We start from the raw sequence: 26481 nt of genomic DNA, 5'->3' as shown, positions 1-26481 counted from the left end.
CTAGTTAATATTTTTGGCCATACTTTTCCCAAGACACAAACAGGTTTTGAAATTGTTGGTCAATATTAAGATGTACATGTGGATTTGTATCTACTTTGTTGAGACCATTTATGCCATTCAATGTAGCAAATAACAGAGCGGGATTTAGTGAGAGTAGAGAGCCATCCACATTTTCCTAGCCTCCTTGCCATGGTATTCTCATTCCTTCCCATCGTTTCTTCACTCTCAATATCATCATTTCCTTCTGTCTTCAGTTTTTAAATGTGTTTAAGGGGACACATGTTGACACCCCTGCTAGTCTAAATATCCCTGTGAGGGCAATTCCTGTGTTTTCAGAGTCCGTATTGCCAACAGTCACCTTCTGTAGATTCTATGCAGACTCAGGGTTATGGACTTACTTGGGGCGGGGCGGGGGTGGGACAGAGGAAAATGGTTCTTCAGCAGATTTTGTGCCCTTGCTCTGGCAGCCATATTTGTAAGAACCATGCTGGGAAGAATCCTCCCAATTTCAGAAGTCATGGAGCAGATGATTAGAAGTGTTCCTATTTTGTCCTAAATCTGCAGCACAAGGCTCAGTGTGCCTTGTCTTCAGTAAGAAAACTTTCAACACTCTTATAAAATGCAACAATATTAGAAGTACCTCCCCCAAAAGACTAAAATATATTTCCATTTTAAAGAAAATGTATTCCTTGAAACATCCGATTGCTGTGATAGGAGGGTGAAATCCAGCTGTTACCATCAATTCTAAGCCCCTCTTTTCCTCCGAGTTGGTGGAGGCATTTTGTGTAATTATCCTGCTTGTTTTTCTGTGTTTTAACGATTTTCCCGGTAGCTCCTAGGGTATTTTTTCCTGGTTAATTGCTTGCTTTGCATCTCGCTTCACCATGGTTTCAGGCGGTGATGTGCTCCCAAAAGGACGTGCGGTAGCTGCCCTTCACTTCATCCTGATGCTGAAGACAGTCCTCAGGATGGCAGGAAGACCGGGGCCATGCAGCCGCTGGCCACAGCTCTGCCTCTGAGTCATGGGTGGTGGGGTTCTTGGTGGCTTGCTTTCCCCAACACCCTCCCCTGGGTCAGCCCTTGTACATCCACACAAGGACACACTGTTTGCCACCATCACTCAGGCTAAAATACTTCAGCCACCACAGACCTTAAATGAACCCCACGGAGAGGCAACAAAAATAAAGCCAGGCAGCAACACAGGAGGCAGCTCCGGATTCTTATGTAACCGAGTCAGCTTGCTCTGGAGCTTCTCATTAGCCCAAATTACAGATCTGCGGGGCACTCTTCGGGCTCCATGCCATCTTCTGTTCCATTCCTTTCACCCTTCAGCTATGTTGCTGGGTGAACAGCTTCTCTGGCAGTGTGGGGCGACGGGGTCGAGGGCCATCTGCCTGTGTGGTCCCTGCATTGTCCATCAGCCCGGAACCCTACCCTGCAACTTGAGCCCAGGATGCCCAGCAAAGTCCAGCGCACTGGCTGGCTCGGCTGGCTGAGGAAGAGCGTGCTTTTCACAGAGTGCTACCTGGCCCCCGCAAGGGGATGCAGACGTGGCGGCGGCGCTCTCTCATGGACATCAGGAGCAGGATTTGCAAACCATGTTCACTCTGAAGTCCTGATGGAAGAATAGAAACTTCATCTTGCTATTAAATAATGTAAAGCTTTAAATCCTAAAAAGCAGTGTTACAGGCTCAATTGTGTTCCCCAAAAAGACATGGTGAAGATCTGACACCCAATACCTCAGAATGTGTGTCCTTATTTGGAAATAAGGTCACTGGGTGTCATTAGTTCAGCTCGGAGGTGGTCACCCTGGAGTGGGGTGGGCCTGAATGCTTATGGCCATGTCCTTAGAAAAAGGGGTGATTTGGACACAGACACACACAGGGAGAGGAGCACGTGAAGATGCAGGCAGAGGTCGGGTGGTGCTTCCACACACTGAGGGGCACCGAGGATGGCCGGCTGCCACCGGAAGCTGGGGAGAGGCTGGAACAGAGGCTCCCTTGCAGCCTCGGAAGGAAGCAGTCCTGCCCACCTGGCTCCAGAGCTGGGAGTGAATGTGCTCTGCTGTCTAAGCCACCTGTCTGTGGTCATTTGTCAGGGCAGCATCTGGAGACCAATACAAATAGCATCTGCTGAGCCCACAACCCACCACGTTTCCCTTCCACGCCATTCACTCATTTCCTACAAAGCTGCATTGCTGTCCAGACCCCAGGCACTTCCCTGAGCCCTCTCTGCCCTGGCGGTCCTCCCTCGCTCCCGCAAGCTGAGCTCACCCCCACCCGTCTCATTGTGCCATTTCTGCTCTTCTCCCACGCAGAAGCCTCCGAGGGTCCCGTGCTCCTGCCCCTTGCCTCTGATATGGCTCCTCGCACCCAGTCAGCGCTGCTGTCCAGAGCCTGGGCCTGGCCGCCCCTCTTCCTGCCTTGCGTGAGAGAACCCTTTCCCGGGTAAAGCTGCAGCCTCTGGGCCATCAGGCCTTACCCTCCAGCCTGCATCCACTATCCTCTGTGGCTTCCCCCACCAGCTCACCCCATCCCAGGGTGCACAGCCTTGCAGAGGCTCAGGCTGGTCCTCCCACCTGGCAGAATTGCTCTTCCTGATTTCTCTGCCCGTCCAATTCCCAGCACCCTTCCAGCTCAGCTCAGATGCAACCTGTTCAGAAAGACAGCTTTGACCTCCCTGCAAAGTCAGGATTCACCTGAGCTCTGGATTAGGACTTTCCGGAAGGCAGGGAGCCCATTGGAGGAGCCTCGCCACAGGTAGAGGCCAGTACATGACAGGCCCCAGAGGCTCGGAGTGCCTGCTGCACTGGCTGAGCTGCCACGGACCATGGGTGAGCACAAAGCTGGTGCCCGCTGCTGTGGGGGGAAGCTGTGAGCAGCAAGGAGTTGCATTTTCCCCTCCTTTTTCCCACCCTGGCTCTGGCCTTTCCCCGCCTGCCCTGGCCTGGCCTGGCCTGTCCTGATTCCTCCTCACTTAACACCCAGCACCTGGCTTGGGAGGCGGGTGGCCTCCTGCACCTATGTGCTGGGCCAGAAAGACCCCTGCACCGCTGCAGAAGGAGCTCTAGGCCCTGGCGTTGTCCTCACTGTGGGGTCAGCCAAGCTTCTGAGGGTCCCTCTTCTATTTCTAAAGGTCACCAGTGTCCGTTCCACGCAGGCCACTTCCTTCCTTCTTGTGCACCTGCCAGGGAGAAGTGTGGTGGGCTCCTGGCCAGTGCGCATGGATGAGGAGGGGGCCTGGGCAAGGTGCCGCCAGGGACATGCTGGGCCACCCACCCATGCGCCCAGGCAGAGACGTGCCTGGGAAAAGACAAAGGAGTTGGACAAGGCAGCCATCAACATAGGAACAGCAGACAAGGAAAGAAAGTCTTCCTCCCTCCCAAGGCCTCCTCTCACCCAGGCTTCCCCTTCTTACAAGGTGTCTCAGTCCCAGGTTGGGGGATGGGGTTGCTGCTGGGACCCCAAGCCCAGGACTGCGGGGACTCCCCAGGTGGTTATGGCTGGGGGAGGGAGGGGTGTGGGGGTCTCAAGGCATGGCTGGAAAAGGGGTCTACGGGGTCCCAGAGCATAGCTGAGGCCGAATGTAGGGGTCCTGGGTGTGGCTGGGGGTTGGATGCTGAGGCTCTGGCAGGGACCTGACCTTGGCTCCAGCTCTGCACTCACCCGTGGGCAAGCCTGGTGCCCCTTGGAGCCTGGCTTCCCCGTCTGTGGGGGTGAGGGGTACCCGCCCATGAGGGCCTTGGATGCCCCTGGTCCAGAATTGGGCTCCACGTGGAATCCCAAGGGTGCAGGCTTCTCAGTGGTCCAGGCCTTCGGGTCCCTGCAAGGTGTCCCCACCTCCATCTTCTCGGCCTCTGTGTGTCTCCTTCATCAGAGCCTGTTTTTCAATCCCGGCTGATGAGTCACCAGCGACCACCTTTTCGTGACTTTCCTCTGCCTGTCCCGGTTGTCTGGGCATCTCTTGGGGAAAATCCTGAGCTAAGGGATGTGATGAGCAAGACTCTTTCTAACCCGGCTCAGGTCAGGTGAGGATGTCCTCGAACCCTGCGTCCTGGCAGGGACTGTCGGGGCCACCCTCCCAGAGGGTGCAGGTGGGGTGCTGCCTGGCCCTGGGCCTGCCAGGTCCCTTGTGACATCAGTCAGCCAAGGAAATTTAGATTTAGTCAACTAAATAAGTAAACTGGCAAATATTATCCAGATTAGCACCTCAGCTTTTAATGGCTGCCCTGTGCATTTGGGGTATTTGCCTCAACTCACACTGCCGGTGCGACTTTCCCTGCGAGTGCGAAGTGCTGAGTGGAGGCCAGCCCTGAGAGGGAGGGAGACGTGAGGGGGCTTTCAATCCAGCCGTCCAGGTTTATGGATAAATGTGTGGAAGCAATAAACAGAAACCGGGAGGGACTTCATTCCAGTCACTGCTACACTCAGAGATTCTAGCAAAGTCTCTTAAGTGCCAGGCACGCAACAGATACTGGTGAGTTAATTAATTAGTTAATGATTAGCACAACACATCATGAGGAGGGAATAAGAAACAGCATCAATGAGTGATGCACTCCGGCCTTTTGCTGTTCACATGATTAATGGAGGCCACACACAGAACATGATGGAGGCCGCACGCAGCACATGATAGAGGCCACACACAGCACGTGATAGAGGCCACACGCAGAACATGATAGAGGCCACATGCAGAGTGTGATAGAGGCCACACACAGCACGTGATAGAGGCCACACGCAGAATGTGATAGAGGCCACACGCAGAGTGTGATAGAGGCCACACACAGCACGTGATAGAGGCCGCACGCAGCACGTGATAGAGGCCACACGCAGAACGTGATAGAGGCCGCACGCAGCACGTGATAGAGGCCGCACGCAGGACGTGATAGAGGCCACATGCAGAGTGTGATAGAGGCCACATGCAGAACGTGATAGAGGCCACACGCAGCATGTGATAGAGGCCACATGCAGAGTGTGATCGAGGCCACACGCAGAACGTGATAGAGGCCGCACGCAGCACGTGATAGAGGCCACATGCAGAACGTGATAGAGGCCACACGCAGAATGTGATAGAGGCCACACGCAGAATGTGATAGAGGCCACACGCAGAGTGTGATAGAGGCCACGTACAGCACTACTGAGAGGTTTTCGGATAGGTTTTGGTGTGGACATTTTAACACCTGTTCACATGGGAGAGCGGAAAGGAAGCAAATGGCGTCTGTGAGTCATAGTGAAAGCCGTGTGACACAGGCTTATGGGGAACGCCTCTTCAGCAGTCAGTGCATCCTCTTAGAGGACTCATTTCAAATAATTATACAAACAGCTCCCGCTTCACCTGGCAGCTAAGAGAGATTTGTTCTCTCTCAGTGAACTCTAAATGAACTTTCCACATGTTAGTTATCGAGTAAGATGCATTTGTGTGTTTTCTAGGTCCATGGGGTTTCTGAGAGGATCTTTATCCTTAGGTGGATATTTTTTTTTTAAATACCTTATTTCATGTATGGTTCTAACGTTTTGCTGAAATGAATACAGTTGCACATCTGGGCAGGCTTAGGCTGGTTTGGACGATCAAAGGCCAGGACCCCAAAGTGACTGGAAGAAACTATTAAGAGACACCTGACAGCTACGGCTCCTCAGTGAGGACCTGAGTCCTCCTCCCAGAGCCTCCATTTGCCTACGAGATGGCCTTGCTCAAGGCATCAAATCTCTCCAAGCCTCCGCTTCCTCAGTTATAACATTGGGATATCAGCAGCACTACCCTCACTGGCCTGACAGTGAGAGGCCCCCCTCTAGCATGTCCTGCATGTGGCCTCTATCACGTGCTTCATGTGGCCTCTGTCATGTTCTGTGTGTGGCCTCTGTCATGTTCTGTGTGTGGCCTCTGTCACGTGCTGCGTGTGGCCTCTGTCACGTTCTGCGTGTGGCCTCTATCATGTTCTGCGTGTGGCCTCTATCATGTTCTGTGTGTGGCCTCTATCATGTTCTGTGTGTGGCCTCTATCATGTTCTGCATGTGGCCTCTATCCACTCCAGACCCACGAGAGGTACACATTGGCTGCAGCCACTGGTTTTTCTCTGACAGTGCTTACACTGAAGCAGAGACTTTAGAAAGAAAATCCATCTCTACGAATAAAATCTGAGTTATGCTTGGAGAAACGGCTTAATTTTGAGAAAGCCTAAAAGAGAAAGAAACAGAGACCGAAGCTGAGAGACAAAAAGAGAGAGAAGGACAGAGATGATCCTGAAACACCTCAACTCCACACTGATGTCTGCTCTTTCGGCAGATTCTATAGTCCTGCTTTGTGTCTATACTCATCATTCTCTAAGACCTCTTTCAGCTAAATAAATTAGTGACATATGAAATCAAATTAAAGGGCAATTGATACATTTGCAGCTTTTCACATTATATTTGAATAATGGTCAGTGCACAAGCTGAGTTGTTGGCTGAGGCTTATGTTCCAGCTTCCTGCTTTGGGGTGTGTGGTGTGGTTGCCGTCCTCTTCTATCAATGTGCATCTTCTGGCTTTTGCTGTCCTGCAGATGTGCTACTTAGCTCCCGGGAAGAAGTTCTGGGCAAAGCAGGGACAAAGACACGCAGCTGTGAGCAAGTTTTATTTTGTGCGTAAAGGACCCTCAGCTTTGGATACCACTCTGTGCATTTGTCCTGAAATTTGCTGTGCAGCTTTTTCCTAGGAAAGATTTCAGAAAAGGGTCGCACCTAAGCATGTCCTATAAATAGAATGCTTGGGCTGGATGGAGAAAGCAGGCAAACGAACATTCCCCTCTGCCTCTCAAAAGCCACTCCGTGGCAAAAATACGTGTTTGTTTTCATTTCCTCCATAGGAAGCCTTTCTATTCTCTTGAGCTATTTTAATCTATTTTTTTCTTGTGTGGACATTTTTCATAATAAAAACTGTCACTCATTATACTGTGTGAGGTGCTAAGTGCTATATAGGCATTACCTGAGATATTTTCCATCTATGAGGAAAACACTGTTATTATCCCCATTTTACAGATGATAAAAATGGAGCTAGGTAAAACATACACAGAGGAAACAAAAAAACCTTTGGTATTTTAACACGATCTGGGTTTCTTGTCAGAATACAGTTATCACCATTTCTTCTCCCCCATTGCACCCCCTGGATAATTCTTCTGAAATTTGGGGGAGGTTTTTCCAGCAGTGAGAGGAGAAAGGGCTCACAGCCCTCCTGTCTTGTTGGGTTTAGCTTGCTGTGTTGTGATGTTGGAAGACCTGGCTCAAAGTTCAGAGCACTGGAAGTCCCAGGGTGGTGAAGCCCCACACTCAGAGACCAGAAAATGCTTTTGAAAATGCTCCTTTCGGTGTGCCAGGGACTAAGGACTTTCTGTGCCCCCCAAATCTCCTGCCCAGCTTTCTAAAGATGCTCTTTCCTGACTGGAAAATGCGGCCCACACTGCCACGGATACTCAGCAGCTCATTTTCCTTAGTGAGTTACAGCCACTCACTTTTGTCTACTCTTAAATCTCAAAATGGCAGGCCGCGTCTTGGCATAGTGTAAGTTTCATTATATGTGGATCATACAGTGCAGCCATCAAGGGCTTTCCCCCAGTGGAGGGTTTTCATATAAAGCCCTGCAGACGCCTTAAGAGGCCGTCAGCTGAAACTGCCTTGACCTGTTAACTGGTCAACCCATATGAGGTTGCCCAGAGAAATTGTTCCAGGTAGCATTCTGCATGCAGGGAGTTTGCATCTTGGTTTGGATTTAAAATGCAGTTCTGCCTGTATTGTGTGTATTCGTATCTTCTCGGTGCTGCTTTCTGTAGTTGGCTGTGGATAACCTGCACCCTCCCACCGCCTCCATGATGGGGCTAAGGTCAGACCCTCAGCACCCCAAACCCAAGGGGCAGACCCTCAGGGTGGTGACAGTCCCAGGCACGGAGCTTGGCATACCAGGAGGACTTTGTGACATGATGGAGAGACCGATGAGGCTAAACATCACGTGTGCCCTCCTTCATCCTCATGGGGACAGGAGAGGCCCTGCAGTTCAGGAAATCATATGTTTGAAATTTGCCTTAATAGAGTGACAGTCAGAAATAGTGAGGAGCAGGCTTCCAGGAGGAGGCCCCTAAGATTTCACTGGCTGCGGGGCCTGCCTGCGCCCTGGGTGGTGACCCAAGTCATGCTGCTGGGCCGCAGGTGCATCCTCGGGGCCCCTCACCACCACCTGGGCAGTGTCCTTTGCTCTGATCTGCAGTGAGGTCCTTCCAGTGGGTGTTCCTTTGCCAACGCACACTCTGAAGGCGAGAGGTGTGCAAATGGCTGCTGCTGTGAGCACGGGGCAGGGGCACAGAAAGTGCGGGGTGAGGAAGGAGATGGCCAGTCCCACTGGGCTTCACATCAGCTGCTGTGATTGAAGTTTGAGCAAAACAAGAAGGAGGAGGAGGAGGAGAAGGAAGAGGGGGAGGAGGCGGAGGAGGGGGAGGAGGGAGAGGTGGCAGAGGGGAGGGGCAGGTGAGAGGAGCTCTAGGCTGTGCTCAGGAAAAGGACACACGATGAGCTTCCAGTTCCACCTCTGCTCTGTCTCCGGGATCCTGGGCGAGTCTGAGTAGTCTACGCCCTAAAATTCCATGATTTGAACTTCTCAAGACATCAACGAGTTTTAAAATGTCATTGTAGTTCCAAAGTGTTTCCCTTTATAAGATCATAAAAAGGGTTTTCTCATATACAATACAAATTTTTCATAAACGCGTTGTGCCAGCTTGACTGATTTATCTTTTTACTTGAATGAGTTTGAGTTGGCAAATGGTTTGGGTGCTATAGACACAATCTGAATTTTCTAAATTAAATCAGGCTCTTGATGTCTGCGGTATTTTTAACAATTATGTGATTTAGCGAAAGCAGTCCTGTCAATTTAGCAATTTACACTGACTAGTTATCCACCGGCCGCCGTCTGACGGCAATAATGATTGTTATTGCCTCCATATTCAAGGAAGAGAGAAGAAAAGTTAAGTGATCAGCCCAAAGCAAGGAGTAACGGGAGAAATAGAATTTAAATCTCAGCCCCAGGCTCCTGGTGCCCAGGCCTGTGTTCAAGGAGAACACTTAGCTGTGAAATCACGTTTGCAAAATTACGACATTAAGAGAAATCTGACATTGTTGGCTCCATCTTGCTCCTAACCTCCAAGCCGTCCTCGGTCACTCCTGGGTGTAGGCTAACCTGACTTCAGGAGGAAGTTAGTTTATAGTTTAACCTTAAAGTAAGGATGATAGTAACCCTTCACAAAACCACCTTTTAAAACTAAATGAAAGGCCACAACGTCAGGATTATGAGAGCAGTGGGTTTCTGCTAAGATACCGTTAAATGGCAATCAGTCGTTGTTCCAGAGGCCACAGGATTTGTAACTTCCCCAGGTATGCCGCAGACAACATCACCATGGTAGAGCCCCAGGTTGGCCTTTTGAGATGTCTTTTCAGACTTTGCACTTCTGACCAGCTAACTCCACCTGGACAGGTGAGCCATGATGAGGCTGTCCTGTGGATTCCACTCAGAGGTGGACTCAGAGCAGGAGGAACGTCTTCACTCTCAAAGGTGGACTCAGCGCGGGGGGAACGTCTCCAGGCTCGGAGGTGGACTCAGCGCGGGCGGAACGTCTCCAGGCTCGGAGGTGGACTCAGCGCGGGCGGAACGTCTCCAGGCTCGGAGGTGGACTCAGCGCGGGGGGAACGTCTCCAGGCTCGCAGGTGGACTCAGTGAAGGGGAAACGTCTCCAGGCTCGGAGGTGGACTCAGCGCGGGGGGAGCGTCTCCACGCTCGGAGGTGGGCTCAGCGCGGGGGGAACGTCTCCAGGCTCGGAGGTGGACTCAGCGAAGGGGGAACGTCTCCAGGCTCGGAGGTGGGCTCAGGGCGGGCGGAACGTCTCCAGGCTCGGAGGTGGACTCAGCGAGGGGGGAACGTCTCCACGCTCGGAGGTGGGCTCAGCGCGGGGGGAGCGTCTCCAGGCTCGCAAGTGGACTCAGCGAAGGGGGAACGTCTCCAGGCTCGGAGGTGGACTCAGCGAGGGGGGAACGTCTCCAGGCTCGGAGGTGGACTCAGCGCGGGGGGAGCGTCTCCAGGCTCGGAGGTGGACTCAGTGAAGGGGAAACGTCTCCACGCTCGGAGGTGGACTCAGCGCGGGGGGAGCGTCTCCAGGCTCGGAGGTGGACTCAGCGCGGGGGGAGCGTCTCCAGGCTCGGAGGTGGACTCAGCGCGGGGGGAACGTCTCCAGGCTCGCAGGTGGACTCAGTGAAGGGGAAACGTCTCCAGGCTTGGAGGTGGACTCAGCGCGGGAGTTACGTCTCCATGCTCAGAGGTGGGCCCAGCGCGGGGGGAACGTGTCCACGCTCGGAGGTGGACTCAGCGCGGGGGGAACGTGTCCACGCTGAGAGGTGGGCTCAGCGCGGGGGGAACGTGTCCACGCTCGGAGGTGGACTCAGCGCGGGGGGAACGTGTCCACGCTCGGAGGTGGACTCTGCGCGGGGGGATCGTGTCCGTGCTGAGAGGTGGGCTCAGCACGGGGGGATCGTGTCCACGATCAGAGGTGGGCTTAGTGCGGGGGGAACGTGTCCACCCTGAGAGGTGGGCTTAGCGCGGGGGGAAAGTCTCCACGCTCAGAGGTGGGCCCAGCGCGGGGGGTACGTGTCCACGCTGAGAGGTGGGCTCAGCGCGGGGGGAACGTGTCCACGCTGAGAGGTGGACTCACGTTTTTACGCTCCTACGATTTCATCCGCAACCAATTGGCGGCACCCATTCCCTATCTCCTGACCACGAAAGTATCGGCGAAAATCCCTAATCTCCAAGTCTTTGTGAGATGGCTGTGGGTGACAGCTCAGTCTCCTCCGTCAGTTAAACTCCTTCTTTATTGCAATGCCCTGGCCTCAGTGAGTTGGTTTTCTCTGTGCAGTGGACAGCATGAACCCGTCAGATGATTACAGCTTGTTGGAGTAGATGATCATTTTTATTAAGTTGGCTTCAGAAAAGCCAAGAAGGGGCTGGAACATTTATTTTTGAGCACCTTAGAGAGGATAAATGCTCACTTCGCCCTGCACATCTTCTAGTCTTGAAAATAAAAGTTAAAATCTGATGACGATGATCAGCTGGGCAAGTTAGGAAACTCAAGGCGCTCAGAAGCAGCCTGAGGCCGAGTCCTCCAGTCCTCTCAGCTGTTTTAACAGTCACATTCCATCCTGCATCTTTTGAGTCTGAGACTCAAAAGTCGCATAATCTTCTAACTTGAGAATTTGATATCTCATCTCCTTCCCATTCTTCTATCTTTTGTTGCAAATAATTTAACGTCACATTTGCTCTAATTTTCTGTTATTTTTTTTACTTTGAGCCCTTCTCCCATTCATGTCCCGTACTAATTGGAAGGTCTTTAAAAGAAAAGTCGCTGTCATTTTGTCCCTTGGTTATTTTGTTGTCTTTTTTTTTTTTTTTGGAGAAGTTTGGATTCAAATAAAAGTTAAACTTAAAAAAAAAAAACCATACCTAAATATGTTGGTATGAAAACTAAATTCTATAAATAATGCTTTTTTAATGCAAAGAATGGCTTTCTGAACAAATAACCTTACTGCTAATATTAAATGGAAGCACTTTATGATACAAATGCAAAACTCTTCCAAATCATTTTCGGGAAAAAAAATCATGAAAGTCTGAAATTAGCAAATGAAAACATTGCGTCCAGTGATATTGTTTTCTAAATATGCCTGAAATCTGTCATAATCTGTTTTCCTGGAACAATAAGAAAGTGGTTCCAAGCCCCCATTACTATCATTTTCTACACAAAGGTTATCTGTGCATTATATTCAATATAGAATTTTCAAATTTTGAAACATTTTATTATTACAGTAATGGCTATTGCCTTTTCTAACAGACACCCTGTCAGAAGGTTTAAAAAATGTATGTTTCGGTTCATGCAAAAAAAAAAAAAAAAAAAAAAAAGGTCAAAACTTTTAAAATGTCACTTCTTCTGCGCTTTGCATAGAAATACATTGGATCAGTGGGAGGCTCCCTGCCCACAGAAGGGGCTGCGGGAAGAATGCTGCCTGCTGCTGAGCCTCCACTTTCCTGCAGCTGTGAGCTGAGCAGAAAGGCACTGTGGGAGTCTATTGTTGCCCCAGCTGGGTAATAGTTTTCTTATTTTACAGTCAGCAGCCAAGGGGGGTTGGGGTGTCTCCGTAAAGTGCCTGAAAAAAATACATAACTCCTGCAAATAGATCACTTTCTGCTTCTTCCATGAGAAACAGGAGTCTATAAATTGTGTAGTTCGTTTGGACCTACCAGTATAATTAAATATCACAAACAAAAGCCACCCCCAGAACCACAAGAGCTACAGATACGGTGCATTTTCCCGACAAACCTGGGCTGCGGGGAGCGCTGGGGCCTGCAGACTTGGTGACACAATTGTTTCTCCCATCTCCCGTCAGCCAATTATTCTTTCCCGTTTACTTTGTTTGAAAGTCACCTGCCATATGCTGAAGGACTAAGGCATGAAACTAAAATTTTAATCTCAAATGTTTTCAGCAAGGCGGGATTGCAGGCGCATGGGTCCTACTGAGCGTCTGAATTCCGCTTTTGTTTACCAGGCAGATCGCTAAGTTTGCGTGAACGGTGGTTAGGCTGCCGAGTGTCTTCACGGCTGAAGTTTGAGCAGGGCCCGGACTTCAGGCTTGTTTTGTTTTGTTTTGCACTGTGAATTGTCCATCGTGGTTTTGTTACCATGGAAACTCATTTTTAAAAGGTGAAAAGTCACTGACCTTTTACCATTGCCACTGCAGGAATTAATATTCTAGCAGGTTGGGAGGAAGGAGGCGTCTTGAATGTAGGTGAGGCCGTTTTCTGGTGATGTCCCCACAGAGAACTGTCTGATTTTTAGCCTTAAAGTCACAAGGGGACTAGGCTTACACTTTTTTTTACACAAATCGCCTTCAAATCAGATGTTTCAAAAATAATGAGACTGTTTTGTGCAGAGACTAAAATGAAGCTGTTAGGACTTTGATTTTTCAGAGCGATCGAAAGCGTCAGCTTTCTCATTCCTTAGGAAGCTCCCGTGGCTGAGTTTTAAAATGTTCACTCTGATGACCTGACTCTCTGGACACCCAACGAGTGGAATTATTTGTAGAAACTAATAGCACACAGTCCTAGAGTGAGCTGGCGAGTAGAAACCAGCCTGTGACCACATGGAGAGTCAGAGAGCTGAAGGAAATGTACTGTGAATGGGTTTTTCTTTTAAGCGCACTGAATAAATGAGATCTAGTGTTTACTCTTTTGATGGATCTGAGGACAATGTAAGTTTCAGGCACTGTTCCTGGAAAGGAAGAGAAAGCCACTTCTCGGGGTCACTGAGTGTTGACGCCGCGCCTAGTGTGGGTGGTGATGAGAACGCAGTAACTGCTCAACAAACAGGCGCTGAATGAGTCGCCTGTGACGGTGCTTCCGGAAGCTTCAGCCATATGCTAGTTATGGCAAGTCTGACAGATGGATCGACAGCAGCTGTCCGCCAGGATGCATGTGCTCTGCCTTCCTAGGGGTTGGGCACGTGATCATGGGATGGTGTCAACCCAAGAGAAGGGGTCTTAACATGCAAACCCTTGAATACCAGAAAACGGCAGCTGCAAAGGGAAAAGATAAGAACAAGGGAAAATTTAGTATTTTAACTTTTTGCTTTCTGTATGGGTAAGAACAAAACCCCAGAAACAGAGGGCAGGCTAATTGGGTGATCAAAGGCACAGGACAGGGGTTGGAGCACGCCAGGAGCTGACAGTCCTGTTAGCAGAAGCATGTGAGCCGGGGAGCAGCTGTCCTCAGACCCCTGAGGTGCAGGATGTGGGGCATTGCGAACCACACGGGCCCCACCGTCCTCCCCACCCCGGGGCGATGACAGTGTGGACTAAGGCTAACATGCTTTTCCTCCATCAATCTTTGAATGAAATGTGGATACTTTGTTCAGAGCCTGTCTTTAAGGCTGGTGTGAGAGCAGGCCTTGGGTGAGATGGCTGGGCAGCGTGCTGCCCGGCAGGCATGTGCTTTTAGGCAGACACTAACTAAAACATCCCAAACAAATGAACATGGAGTGAGGAACATGGCTGAGTCCAGGCCTCAGATCCCAGATATGGCTGTGGGAGAAAGGAGACCCGGTCTGCATCTCAGGAGGGCCAGAGCAAGTTCTGAGCTGCTCTGTGGCCAGGGTGGGCTCATTCATCCCTGCATTCCAACTCCCAGCCCTGTTCAGAAACATCTATTGAATGAGCACATGAATGACAACATGAATGAAATCACAGTATATTGTCCCATTCCTGGGGTATATGAAAAACAGAGGGAAAGGAATTCCAAGATACTCCTTCACCGTTCCAGCCTGCCCTGTTCCACTCCAGGCCTCACGACTGCACTCGGCCCCGCCCCAGCCCTGCCCCCTCTCCGGCAGTTACTAGCATAAAGATGCAAAGTCCAGGCAAAACAACTCTCAGTTCTGAAGGAACAATGAGAAACGGTGATGAAAGGAAATACATGAGTTTGCGGAAAATTACTGTTCTGTCTGTTTCATCTGCCTATTTTATGTAAGTTCCCCTAAAATCAGTGTCTGCATTTCAATTATCCCATTATTTTTATCAGGACAATGGCCTCTTTCAGTGACATTTATTCTTAAAATAGTAACACCCTCAGAGACTATTTTTGGCAAACCAGAAATCCCACTTGTCCTCTCGGGAAACAGCATCTGGAGTGTGGGCTGGGGGCAAATGCACCAAGATGAGATCGTGCTTCAGCTTTCTCATCCGTGACCTGAGGCTGGTCCCATCTCCCTTCCTGAATCCACAGGGTCACTGTGAGAAGGATGCATGGACAATGCATGTGAGTGCTTTGGAAAGACTCAAGTAAAAGGCAGAATGGATTGTTCACCACCCAGGGGAGAGAGGATGGGGAGCTCTCCCCAGGGCAGAGTTCCAATGCTTAGGGCTGGTACGGGTGGGGTCTGAGCTGCGTGGAGAACTTCTTCTACTCTACTGACCAACATGTCCTATCCTGGTTTACCAGGACCTCCCCGGCTTAGCTTCTAAGTCCCATGTGCAGGGAACACCCACCTCCCAGTTGTTGGCACCGTCACACCTCATTCTGCATTTACTGTCCCTCTCCAAGCAATGGCCCACCAAGATGAGACGGTCTCTTCAAGAGGCTTTCCCTGGAAATAGGAGATTGAGGTCAGAAACCCCCAAGGGAAGCTTGGCAGCCTTAGGAGAGACTTCGCCCCTGACACATCCTTTCCATGCCCCAAGCTGACATTTCAGGTAAAGTAAATATATATTCAGCAGCTTTTGTATAGGCAAAGCCTGTACTAGGGGTGGCAGAGTTTTCCCCTTAAGAGGTCTATCTCATGGGGTAGGAATTAAAATACCTATGATAGTGTCTTACTAAAATACAGGCAGGATGTGAAAGTATGGCAAGAAAAACACTGAGAAATTGAGAACAAAACTGTAACAGAGTGAGCTAAACAGCCTCCAATGATCATTTACATAAAGTCCATCTCCACAGCCATTTCCGTTTCCCAGATACTCTACTGACCCATAACACATGCGCAAATATATGCATGCACATTTAGACCAGTGGGAAGGGGTTTTATAAATGCTCAGAGTAGAATCTGATTAGTAATACAGGGATTAAGATTAAGTTTGAACATAGACTATTAAAAGGTAATTAGTGATCATTATAATTTTTTGTAGTTGGTTAGAGGTAACACAGTGTTGTTTTATTTTGTCTTTATTAATAATGAAATTATACGCATATCTACAGTTAAGAGAATGACAGGGAAAGAACAAACTTGAGTGTCAACATATCTGTTGTCAACTTAAAAACAATTGTATGGTAAATACGAGAAAAAATACTGGGTAGCCAAGAATTTTGCAGCCTTTAGCATTAATTCCAAATTAATAATAATAAAGATGGAAAATTAGTAGTGAAAGGCTGATTATAGTGCTCAGGGGAAAATTCTAAAAATTTTCTTGAACTAAAAATGCTAAACTATCTTAGCTATAACTAGAAGTTATAAGGAGGGAACAGAGTAAAATAATCCAACTGTTTTATATTATTTACTTTGCCTGAAGTAAAGAGTAATAGAATAGAACACTTTGGTTTCTGGTTTTTATCCAGCAATGAAAAAAAAAGTATATGAATGATAAGAATGAGGAATGGGAGAATAGTAGCTGAATAAAAAAGTACAGAAATGCCAAATTAACAGAGGAAAAATGGAAATAAATGGATCAAACTGTCCAAAATGAGGAAAAGAAAAAAAAAAGACAGAGCAAAGTATATACGTATCTTAGAAAACATAAAGTAAGATAGAGAATAAAGTCAAGCGTATCACTTAGTACACTAAATGTGAATGACATAAACTTCCCTATTAAAGCAGAGATTGTCAGACTGTGTTTTTAAAAATCCACTACATGTTGTGTAAAAAAAATTTTCCTAACAAAGTGGTAAGAAAAGTTGAAAATAAAGGAATAGGCAAATAGATATTAGGATATAAAAAAGGAAAGAAAAAATAGTGATATTAATGAAAAATAATGAAGATAATGAAGAATTTAGGCCTAATGGCTCTAAATGAGACAAAAGCAGGTATTTTGTAATAATAAAAGTAACAGTTTATTAAAGTGAGCCATTAGCCCAAATGTGCCAGTCAACATAATGACTAAATGTAAACCACAAAAATAAATAAAATAAGTTAACATGACAACAATTTCTATTATAGTGGAACTAAAATGTCCCAAACAAATGAACATTGACCTATATGATTTGTAAATGTTAAATGAGAACCTTCATATGCATTCAATGGCCAATAAGTAATAAGAACTTTCTGAATAAAATCCCACCTGCGTCTGGTTTCGATTGTAAGAGTCAATACAAGAACTGATCTCAAGAACTATCTTGGGCTTCTTGGGTATCCCAGAAAGTCTCTAATATTAGCAGGTGCTCCAAACAACTCAGCGGCCCTTTGTCAAAGTGGTAGGTTGTAGGTTAGTGGCTGACTTGGTCAAAGTTAAGGGCTGGGGAAGCGCAGTGTTGGAAGCCCTCTAATCACTTACTTAGGGGTAACTAAAACTCACAGAATGATTTTGCTTGCTTACGAGAACTACGACCATTCCTAAACATATTCGTAAATAAGTGCAGTTTTCTTTCTCGATAGACACTACTTGGCTTCCAGCATAGTCATGTTTGTGAGAAGTTTTATGTAAATCAAATTCTGTTTTCCAGTTGACTAACTTACCATTTCAAAGTTGTTTTGTTTCTTTCTTGATTGATTCTCCATTGACAGTGACTCTTACATTTCAGCTTTAAGATTTTCTTCCTTCAGTCTTTCCACTGAAGCATTAATGATCACTAAACAAGTGATTAACTGCATTTAGAGACAACTGCTTAAAGAAAGCTTTCAGTGAATCCTCCTTTGAGGATTCACCGCTAAGTATCCTTTTGTTAAGTGAAGCCTCCCCTGTAATATTAATAGTAACCCCACAATTTGTCTGTTTGTAAAGTGTAGTGGACGACTCTTTTGTTGTGTAGCATCTGCAGCCCTCCTCTGGAGCTACACTATTGGTGGTGGAAGCTTTGTGGAATGTCCCATTCCCAGTCCATGTGGTCCCAGCACAGGGTGCCATTCCCGCCTCCAGGGACATGACACAACCCAGGCCTAGACAGGGACCCCAGTGCATTCTCCACTGCTCCAGTGGCTCACTCCATGATGACCACTTGACTCAGCCAGAGCCGAAAAGATGCAATGAGATGTGGTGACTTTTGGAAAAGAGAGTTTTGTTTACCATTGGAGCTGAATCCCAAGAGGAGGTTAAAGATCGAATCATTGACTCCATCTCCTTAGCACTCAGATATTGAGACCTAAGCCAACTCAGCAGAAATCAGCAAAAATCACCCAGCTCCTGATGACACTGTTTGATATCTGCACTTCTCATGCCAGAAGCTAGTCCTACCACTGAACTTTTCAGCTTAGGTGACCCAATGTATTTGTTTCTCATTTAGCCCAGTTTACAATGGGTTTTCTCTCTCACAACCTCAAGCATCCCTTCAGACGTTGAAAGTCTGAATTGTAGTTGCTGGTAGGGGTTAGAAATGACCATTTACTTGCATTTTAAAAAGCGCGTCCAAAAAATGCTTGGGAAATGTTGGCAAAACAAATTTTTGAAATATGGCTACAGCAAACTATGATCTCTCTGCATAAAGCCTATGTAACCTGCGATTGCCAACATGACTTCCTATTTCAAAAAATATCAGTTACAGTAAAACTACATTCTCCTTTTTTGTACTATGGAATTTAATGTAAAAAAATATGCATTTTTGTGGACTGAATTATTCTTATGAAGAACCGTCTACCTTTCTTCCAGGAATAACTGCTGACATCCCTTCAATCACCATTGGCTGCTCCGAGCAGCTTCTCAGAGCTGGTTTTCGATTTTCTTTCACAGTCTTTCTCAGAACTCTGCGATCCCCAGAGGTTACAAATCTGTGTTGGGTGCTTTCTCTGCTAAAGAAGAATTTTCTAATGGCACAACTGAGGTTTCGAAAAAGTCAGCTTCGAGAATTTTCCTAAGTACTAAATCATGTGCACTGAAAGCATTGGAAAGAAACCACACCTGCACGAGAATTTCAAAGCCGGGGGCTCTATGACTGGCTGGACGCTGGAGCCCTCCTTTAAAGGATGGAGGCAACTTGGCCAACTGCATATTATTTTCTATGGCAGTGGCCCCCACTGTTCTCAGGCCATGAAACTCGGGAACGGATTGTGGCTGTCACGCAGAATCAAAGAGATGGATTGGCCGTGTTGCTTCAGGACTCAATCTTCTCAAAGCTTCTGACTCCAGACAGACAGTGCCTCCCCATTCTGCTGGCTGAGACAGGAGGGGTATAAGACCAAAAATCGAAGTGTGTAAGATCCTGAATTCCACTGCCTGCCAAGCAACTGAAAGTGCAGTTATCATCAGCTGCTTCTCCCTGATCTATTTTCCCATTAAAAAATAAAGACTTGGATCCTGCAAGAGCTCTGGGATCCCTTCGATGGCAGAGACTCTTGGCTGCATATATGTGTATTGCAAGGTGCCCAGACGAATCCTTCATCTCCAAATATTGCCAGACCTGATGAATGGCCTCTTGGGAGATCCCTGCACCACACCCCTCCTTCCTGTTGCTGGGCTTCCCCTGGGGGCTCTCCCCACACCCAGTGTTCTCTGTATATGACAACATTGACACTTAGATGGCCTTTGTGACCTGTGGACACAAGCAGCGGCCAAGCCTGGTGGTGGGCACCTCGCACGGCACGGCACTGCGTGCTGTGGCCCCTCATGGAGAGACCCCTGTAATTCAAGTCAGTGCTGCCTGCACACCCACCCCCCATGGCAGTTCCTGTCCTGGTGGCTGGCTCGCTGGTCCTGCCCTGCCAGTGGGGAACACCTCCCTGCTGCTGTCCAGGGGCAGATGCTGCTGTCCTCCTGGCCGGGAGCTGGCAGCAGCCCTTGCTGGAGTCACTCATCTTCGCCTGCCAACTTTAGAGGTTCCCCATCTGGTGGCAGATGAGAAGCCCCTGGCAAACATTCTTTTATGTCAGAAAAAAGTCACATCCAGAGGTTCCAGGTGAATTGGTGCGTGGTGGGGCCTAGGCTATCAGTGCTTTCTAGAAGCTCCCAGATGATCCTAAGGACAGCTGTGCTTGGGACCCCGCCGGCTGTGTCACGGTTGCATTTGAAACCCTCACTGACCCCCACTGTTTACAGAACACAGCCCTGGCCCCTAGCAGAGCAGCCAAGACCTTCCTTGATTTGGTCCAAATTTACATTGACAGCCTCGTCCTTTGTTACACACTTTTCCAGTGTGCGTTTCCCCTGCCCCTTTAATTTACTTGCTCCCAATTGCAGTGTGTGGAGCACCTGTGTCGGGAGTGTGCCCAGGACTTGCTTGGGGCACAGCCCTCCGGGGAAGCACAGAAAGGCCACCAGGCAGAAGCACACAGGACACAGAGGAGGGGCGTTGACTCTGTGGGGCAGGGCTGGGTGGCAGGGTTGGAACCCTGAGGCCATGCTTGAGCTGCTTGGAAGGAGGGCAGAAGCTTCTCAGATGGAGAAAGGGCCCAGCCTCTGGGAAGCAGGGCCAGTGCACAGCTGGAGGGGCTGCTGTGCCTGGATAACCATGAGCAGGTCAGGGTGGATGGAGTGTGAGGTGTGTGTGGGAGGAAACAGGATAGCAGGACAGGTACACGGGCCAGCTCGGAAAAGGCCTCCACACTCCACACTCACCCAACCCTCACGCCGCCCTCTAGAGCAGGTGCTGTTGCCCCTGTTTATCTACAAACACACAGAGGCTCAGGAAAGGTAACTCACCTGCCCAAGGTCACTAGGCAAAGACAGCAGAGCCAAGACTTGAACCCATGCTTGTTTGATTCTAAAGCCTCGTAGAAATGTCAGGTGTGAACAGCACTCTTCCTCCTCTTTTCTCCTGCCACAGTGGGCTTCTTCGGCTCTCTCCTCCCCAGGTCTCTGCACTGCTGCTGGCCCCATAGCTGGGAGCTCCTCCACCTGCCCACAGCACACACCCGCACTCTCCCCCGGACAGGGCCTGCCACTGCTCAGGACTCGGTGTAAGGGTCAGTCCCTTGGAGCAGCCTGCTCTGGGTGACGCCCAGCAGGCTTCAGCCTCCAAGCTGAGGCTCCATCTCTCTTCCTCGCTTTTACTTTTAGGGTTTAAGAAGGCAGAAACTCTGTCTATTCCCCTTATTCCGTGCCCCTCGCACCTGCAGGCAGTCTGTCTTTAATAAATGTTAGTGTAACCCATCAATCTACCTCTGAGCTTAACTCAGCGGACCAACCAGTTTATCACCAAACATCTATTGTCTCCCTAGAGAGAGACTGGAAGGGGGATTCCTAGCCCCACCTGGGGCAGACAGATCATGTACCATGAAGCAGCTTCCAGATTTGAGGGATTCTTCCTGAAATTGGCTTTGGAAGGAACTTCTTCAGCCTTACACTTGGAAGTCTTGATGGACCGTTAGCTCAATAAGCCAAGACGGGCATCCGGGGAGGAAAGCAGGGAGCATGCCTGGAGGCGAACGACGCCCATGGGAAAAGGACAGGTGGTTGGTGTTTCCCTTCATGATTCTAACCCAGCTCCTTAAGAGACAGAAACTGGCTGGGTGCGGTGGCTCATGCCTGTCATCCCAGCACCTTCGGAGGCCGAGGTGGGAGGATTACTTGAGCCCAGGAGGCAGAGGCTGCAGTGAGCTGTGATCATTCCACTGCACCCCAGCCTGGGTGACAAAGTGAAACCCTCTCTCAAAAACAAAAAGAAATTTACCTAGAAACTCTGGGTGTTATGAGTTCAACTGTGTCTCTCAAAAAGACATGCTAAAGTCCTGAAGCACAGCACTAGCGTGCTCTTATCAGAGAGATGAGAGGCCTGAGGCGCAGAGACAGCCTTCCTGCAGATTCACTCGGAATACAAGTATTACATGTGTGTCTTGAACAGACGTGGGAGAAAACAGAGTGGCTTTTGCACCAGAGCGGACATTTGGGGTGAATGCTCAGCCCCGGAGCGCACATTTGGGGTGAATGCTCAGCCCCGGAGCGCACATTTGGGGTGAGTGCTCAGCCCCGGAGCGCACATTTGGGGTGAGTGCTCAGCCCAGGAGCGCACATTTGGGGTGAGTGCTCAGCCCCGGAGCGCACATTTGGGGTGAGTGCTCAGCCCCGGAGCGCACATTTGGGGTGAGTGCTCAGCCCCGGAGCGCACATTTGGGACGAACAGATAGCCCTGCAGTGGACATTTGGCTGGGACATCCCCAGGGCTCCATCGCTTGGTGCCTAAACACGGTGTGGGGAAAGAGCAGAGCAAGTGGAGTCAAGAAGCCTTAACTTCACAATTTCCTAAAATCCCACCATCCTTTGCATTCCATTTTTTCCTCTTCCTTATCTTCTCATTTAGCGTACAACTGAAAATAGGTTAGTGTTGACTCAGAGCATTCCACTGAACTGGTAATTACAGTTACCTTTGAAGGGAGGTATTAGGGAACTGTCCGATTATGCATTATGCAATTGTGAAATGCTTGAATGTTTTTGTAAGTGTGTACGGCTTTCAGAATCAAGGAATAATCAATAAAATATCTAAAAGGAAGTCTAAACAATTTGGGAAGAGCTGGGACAAGTGTCAGGATCGCCATGTGTTCCTATACCCCAGCAGGGTGGGTGTATCCATTGCCATTATTCGTCGAGTTTCCGGTCTTGGTTTCTTCTGGCCCCAACAGGCATGTGTCTAGAAGAGGTCAGGGGTGTGAGGCAAGGGTGCAGCTAAGTGGGGCAGGGGGCGGGGGGTCCTGCCGGATCCTCGGCATCCACTTCAGCTTGCTGTGGGCCTGAGGCAGGCCCCCCTCACTGCACCGCTTAGAAGGGGTTGGCTTCTGTGGGTGTGCAGCTTCCAGATCTCCAGGCCAGCAGGGTGTTCGAGGTCACTCTCCTATCAGCCACATGATGACAGAAATCTGAGGCTGGTGCAAAGGCTACTGTCTTTTTTTTTCATGCTTCTCTTTAAGATACACATCTAATACTTGCACACTGAATGGATCTGCAGAATGGCTATTTCTGTGCCCTAGGCCTCCCATCTGTCTGATAAGAGCATGCTAGTGCCGTGGCTCAGGACTTTAGTGTATCTTTTTGAAAGACACAGTTGAAGTCATAACACCCAGAAATTCAAGATGTCGCTGTCAGTAGCATAGCTGGATTCAGCACTCAAGTCTTGGGTGAAATGCATTTATGTTTGCTTTGAAAGTTTTGTTTTCTTGTTACCTTGACCAGATAGATCATCCTGAGCATGAAATACTGGGCAAATTATTTCACCTGCTCCAGGCCTGGCTGGCTCTTCTCTGTAAACTGGAGTGCTAACACCACCTCCTGCCTAGAGATGCTGTCCAGACAAACCCAGGTGGCAGTGTGCTTGCCGTGGGTGTGTGTGTGTGTGCTTGCCGTGGGGGTGTGTGTGTGTGCTTGCCGTGGGTGTGTGTGTGTGCGCTTGCCGTGGGTGTGTGTGTGTGCTTGCCGTGGGTGTGTGTGTGCGCGCTTGCCGTGGGTGTGTGTGTGTGCGCTTGCCGTGGGGGGGTGTGTGTGTGCTTGCCGTGGGTGTGTGTGTGTGTGCGCTTGCCGTGGGGGGGTGTGTGTGTGCTTGCCGTGGGGGTGTGTGTGTGTGCTTCCCGTGGGGGGGTGTGTGTGTGCTTGCCGTGGGTGTGTGTGTGTGCGCTTGCCGTGGGGGGGTGTGTGTGTGCTTGCCGTGGGGGGGTGTGTGTGTGCTTGCCGTGGGGGGGGTGTGTGTGTGCTTGCCGTGGGGGTGTGTGTGTGTGCTTGCCGGGGGGTGTGTGTGCTTGCCGTGGGGGTGTGTGTGTGCGCTTGCTGTGGGGGGGTGTGTGTGCTTGCCGTGGGGGTGTGTGCGCGTGTGTGTGCTTGCTGTGCGCGTGTGTGTGCTTGCTGTGCGTGTGTGTGCGCGCGTGTGCATGCGTGTGTGCGTGTGTGTGTGCACGTGTGTGTGTGTGTATGTGTGTGCTTGCCGTGCGTGTGTGTGGTGTGTGGGTGTTGGGGTGGGGTGGGGCAGGAAGGACTCCATCCCCATCTTCTTAAGGAATGTGAATGTGACCATTGCCTGAAGTAGAAAACGTTTGCAAGTGGTTCCAAGGAATTTTAGACCCAGGAGCACTCCGAGCCGGATGTGGGAGCTGAAGGACTTCACATTTTGTTCTCTAAGTGCCATCGAGCGGCCTCTCAGCGGCGGGATGGACACGGCAGTGCCGGTGGGGGGAGCCTGACACTGTTCTATTTCTAGTTCTTCCATTACCTTGATGTGTGACCTTGTAAAATCTTCCCTTAAAAAAAGTATCTCTGTGGCTGATTTCTTCTTCATCTTGAAAGTACAGGTGGTAGTCATGAATATTTGTTTCCTGCAGGTTGGTTTTGTAAACCTCTTCTCGAAGGAAAAGTACACACAGCTGTGGAGTATTGTTCTTATTAATAACTTCATCTTGGCATGCACTCGCCGGCTTCTAAGTCTTTATATTAATATTCTACTGCAGAAAATATGCCACAATAGCAACCTGTCTGATTTCTCTGTCTTCTGTTTTAGAAGCTGACCTATACACTAAATAGTTGTCCTAAACAGAACACATTTTTTTTCTCTTTCCACGTCAATGTCTAACCATGGCATCTGGTGGATCCTTGCAGTCCAGCTGTCTGTTGCCAGTTGTGTTGGTCATCTTGGGGCTGCCATGACAAAGGACCATAGACTGTGTGGGTCAACCCACAGGAACTGATTTCTCACCGTTCTGGAGGCTGAAGTCTGGGATCAGGCACCAGCATGGTCACTTCCTGGTGAGGACTCCCTTCCTGGCTTGTAGATAGCTGCTTTCTGATTGTGTCCTCACAGGGGGAAGGTGGTGGGGTGGGGGAGAGGGAGAGCTGTTGTGTCTTCTTAAGAGGGCACTGGTCCCAGGAGGAGGATTCCACCTTATGACCTCTTCTAAATCTAATTATCTCCCAATGGCCCCATCTCCAGATACCATCACACTGGGGGTCAGGGCTTTCAGAGATATCATCAAACCGGAGGCCAGGGCTTCCACAGATACCATCACAGAGGGGTCAGGGTTTCCACAGATACCATCACACAGGGGTCAGGGTTTCCACAGATACCATCACACAGGGGTCAGGGTTTCCACAGGTTCCATCACACAGGGGTCAGGGTTTCCACAGATACCATCACACAGGAGTCAGGGTTTCCACAGATACCATCACACAGGAGTCAGAGCTTCCACAGATACCATCACACTGGGAGTCAGGGCTTCCACAGGTACCATCACACAGGGTTCAGGGTTTCCACAGATACCATCACACTGGGAGTCAGGGTTTCCACAGATACCATCACACTTGGAGTCAGGGCTTCCACAAGGACCATCACATGGGGGTCAGGGCTTCCACAAATATCATCATACAGGGGTCAGGGCTTCCATAAATATCATCACACAGGGGTCAGAGCTTCCACAGATACCATCACACTGGGAGTTAGGGCTTCCACAGGTACCATCACACAAGGGTCAGGGTTTCCACAGGTACTATCACACTGGGAGTCAGGGCTTCCACAGGGACCATCACATGGGGGTCAGGGCTTCCACAAATATCATCATACAGGGGTCAGGGCTTCCATAAATATCATCACACCGGGGTCAGAGCTTCCACAGGTACCATCACACAGGGGTCAGGGTTTCCACAGATACCATCACACAGGGGTCAGGGCTTCCACAGGGACCATCACATGGGGGTCAGGGCTTCCACAAATATCATCATACACGGGTCAGGGCTTCCATAAATATCATCATACAGGGGTCAGAGCTTCCACAGGTACCATCACACAGGGGTCAGAGTTTCCACAGATACCATCACACAGGGGTCAGGGTTTCCATAGATACCATCACACTGGGAGTCAGGGCTTCCACAGGTACCATCACACAGGGGTCAGGGTTTCCATAGATACCATCACACTGGGAGTCAGGGTTTCCACAGATACCATCACACTTGGAGTCAGGGCTTCCACAGGGACCATCACATGGGGGTCAGGGCTTCCACAAATATCATCATACAGGGGTCAGGGCTTCCATAAATATCATCACACAGGGGTCAGAGCTTCCACAGATACCATCACACTGGGAGTCAGGGCTTCCACAGGTACCATCACACAGGGGTCAGGGTTTCCACAGATACCATCACGCTGGGAGTCAGGGCTTCCACAGGGACCATCACATGGGGGTCAGGGCTTCCACAAATATCATCATACAGGGGTCAGGGCTTCCATAAATATCATCACACAGGGGTCAGGGCTTCCACAGATACCATCACACTGGGAGTCAGGGTTTCCACAGATACCATCACACAGGGGTCAGAGCTTCCACAGATACCATCACACTGGGAGTCAGGGCTTCCACAGGTACCATCACACAGGGGTCAGGGTTTCCATAGATACCATCACACTGGGAGTCAGGGCTTCCACAGGTACCATCACGCAGGGGTCAGGGTTTCCATAGATACCATCACACAGGGGTCAGGGCTTCCACAGATACCATCACACTGGGATTCAGGGTTTCCACAGATACCATCACACAGGGGTCAGAGCTTCCACAGATACCATCACACTGGGAGTCAGGGCTTCCACAGGTACCATCACACAGGGGTCAGGGTTTCCATAGATACCATCACACTGGGAGTCAGGGCTTCCACAGGGACCATCACACAGGGGTCAGGGTTTCCATAGATACCATCACACTGGGAGTCAGGGCTTCCACAGGGACCATCACATGGGGGTCAGGGCTTCCACAAATATCATCATACAGGGGTCAGGGCTTCCATAAATATCATCACACAGGGGTCAGAGCTTCCACAGGTACCATCACATGGGGGTCAGGGT

General features: G+C 49.6%; 1 long non-coding RNA gene across 1 annotated transcript, besides 7 other annotated features; it reads left to right on the top strand.

The window, feature by feature from the left end:
* Positions 981-1481: an enhancer, noted in NCBI's record as "H3K4me1 hESC enhancer chr13:112827033-112827533 (GRCh37/hg19 assembly coordinates)". NCBI's record gives its function as "activates a minimal SCP1, AML or CMV promoter by ChIP-STARR-seq in naive and primed H9 embryonic stem cells {active_cell/tissue: H9 hESC(naive and primed)}" and the evidence as "EXISTENCE:reporter gene assay evidence [ECO:0000049][PMID:30033119]".
* Positions 1482-1982: an enhancer, noted in NCBI's record as "H3K4me1 hESC enhancer chr13:112826532-112827032 (GRCh37/hg19 assembly coordinates)". NCBI's record gives its function as "activates a minimal SCP1, AML or CMV promoter by ChIP-STARR-seq in naive H9 embryonic stem cells {active_cell/tissue: H9 hESC(naive)}" and the evidence as "EXISTENCE:reporter gene assay evidence [ECO:0000049][PMID:30033119]".
* Positions 9527-10221: an enhancer, noted in NCBI's record as "H3K27ac-H3K4me1 hESC enhancer chr13:112818293-112818987 (GRCh37/hg19 assembly coordinates)". NCBI's record gives its function as "activates a minimal SCP1, AML or CMV promoter by ChIP-STARR-seq in primed H9 embryonic stem cells {active_cell/tissue: H9 hESC(primed)}" and the evidence as "EXISTENCE:reporter gene assay evidence [ECO:0000049][PMID:30033119]".
* Positions 10222-10918: an enhancer, noted in NCBI's record as "H3K27ac-H3K4me1 hESC enhancer chr13:112817596-112818292 (GRCh37/hg19 assembly coordinates)". NCBI's record gives its function as "activates a minimal SCP1, AML or CMV promoter by ChIP-STARR-seq in naive H9 embryonic stem cells {active_cell/tissue: H9 hESC(naive)}" and the evidence as "EXISTENCE:reporter gene assay evidence [ECO:0000049][PMID:30033119]".
* Positions 13403-14107: an enhancer, noted in NCBI's record as "H3K4me1 hESC enhancer chr13:112814407-112815111 (GRCh37/hg19 assembly coordinates)". NCBI's record gives its function as "activates a minimal SCP1, AML or CMV promoter by ChIP-STARR-seq in primed H9 embryonic stem cells {active_cell/tissue: H9 hESC(primed)}" and the evidence as "EXISTENCE:reporter gene assay evidence [ECO:0000049][PMID:30033119]".
* Positions 13490-19043, top strand: LOC100506016 (uncharacterized). The gene is made up of 2 exons (NR_134944.1): positions 13490-14567; positions 18393-19043. It is a non-coding gene; the product is annotated as an uncharacterized LOC100506016 (long non-coding RNA).
* Positions 14108-14813: an enhancer, noted in NCBI's record as "H3K4me1 hESC enhancer chr13:112813701-112814406 (GRCh37/hg19 assembly coordinates)". NCBI's record gives its function as "activates a minimal SCP1, AML or CMV promoter by ChIP-STARR-seq in primed H9 embryonic stem cells {active_cell/tissue: H9 hESC(primed)}" and the evidence as "EXISTENCE:reporter gene assay evidence [ECO:0000049][PMID:30033119]".
* Positions 22740-23315: an enhancer, noted in NCBI's record as "H3K27ac-H3K4me1 hESC enhancer chr13:112805199-112805774 (GRCh37/hg19 assembly coordinates)". NCBI's record gives its function as "activates a minimal SCP1, AML or CMV promoter by ChIP-STARR-seq in naive H9 embryonic stem cells {active_cell/tissue: H9 hESC(naive)}" and the evidence as "EXISTENCE:reporter gene assay evidence [ECO:0000049][PMID:30033119]".

This window comes from Homo sapiens, chromosome 13 (assembly GCF_000001405.40).
Source record: "Homo sapiens chromosome 13, GRCh38.p14 Primary Assembly".
Taxonomy (NCBI): Eukaryota; Metazoa; Chordata; class Mammalia; order Primates; family Hominidae; genus Homo; species Homo sapiens.
The sequence above is the reverse complement of the archived record's forward strand: the minus strand, read 5'-3'. Positions and strand labels throughout refer to the sequence as shown.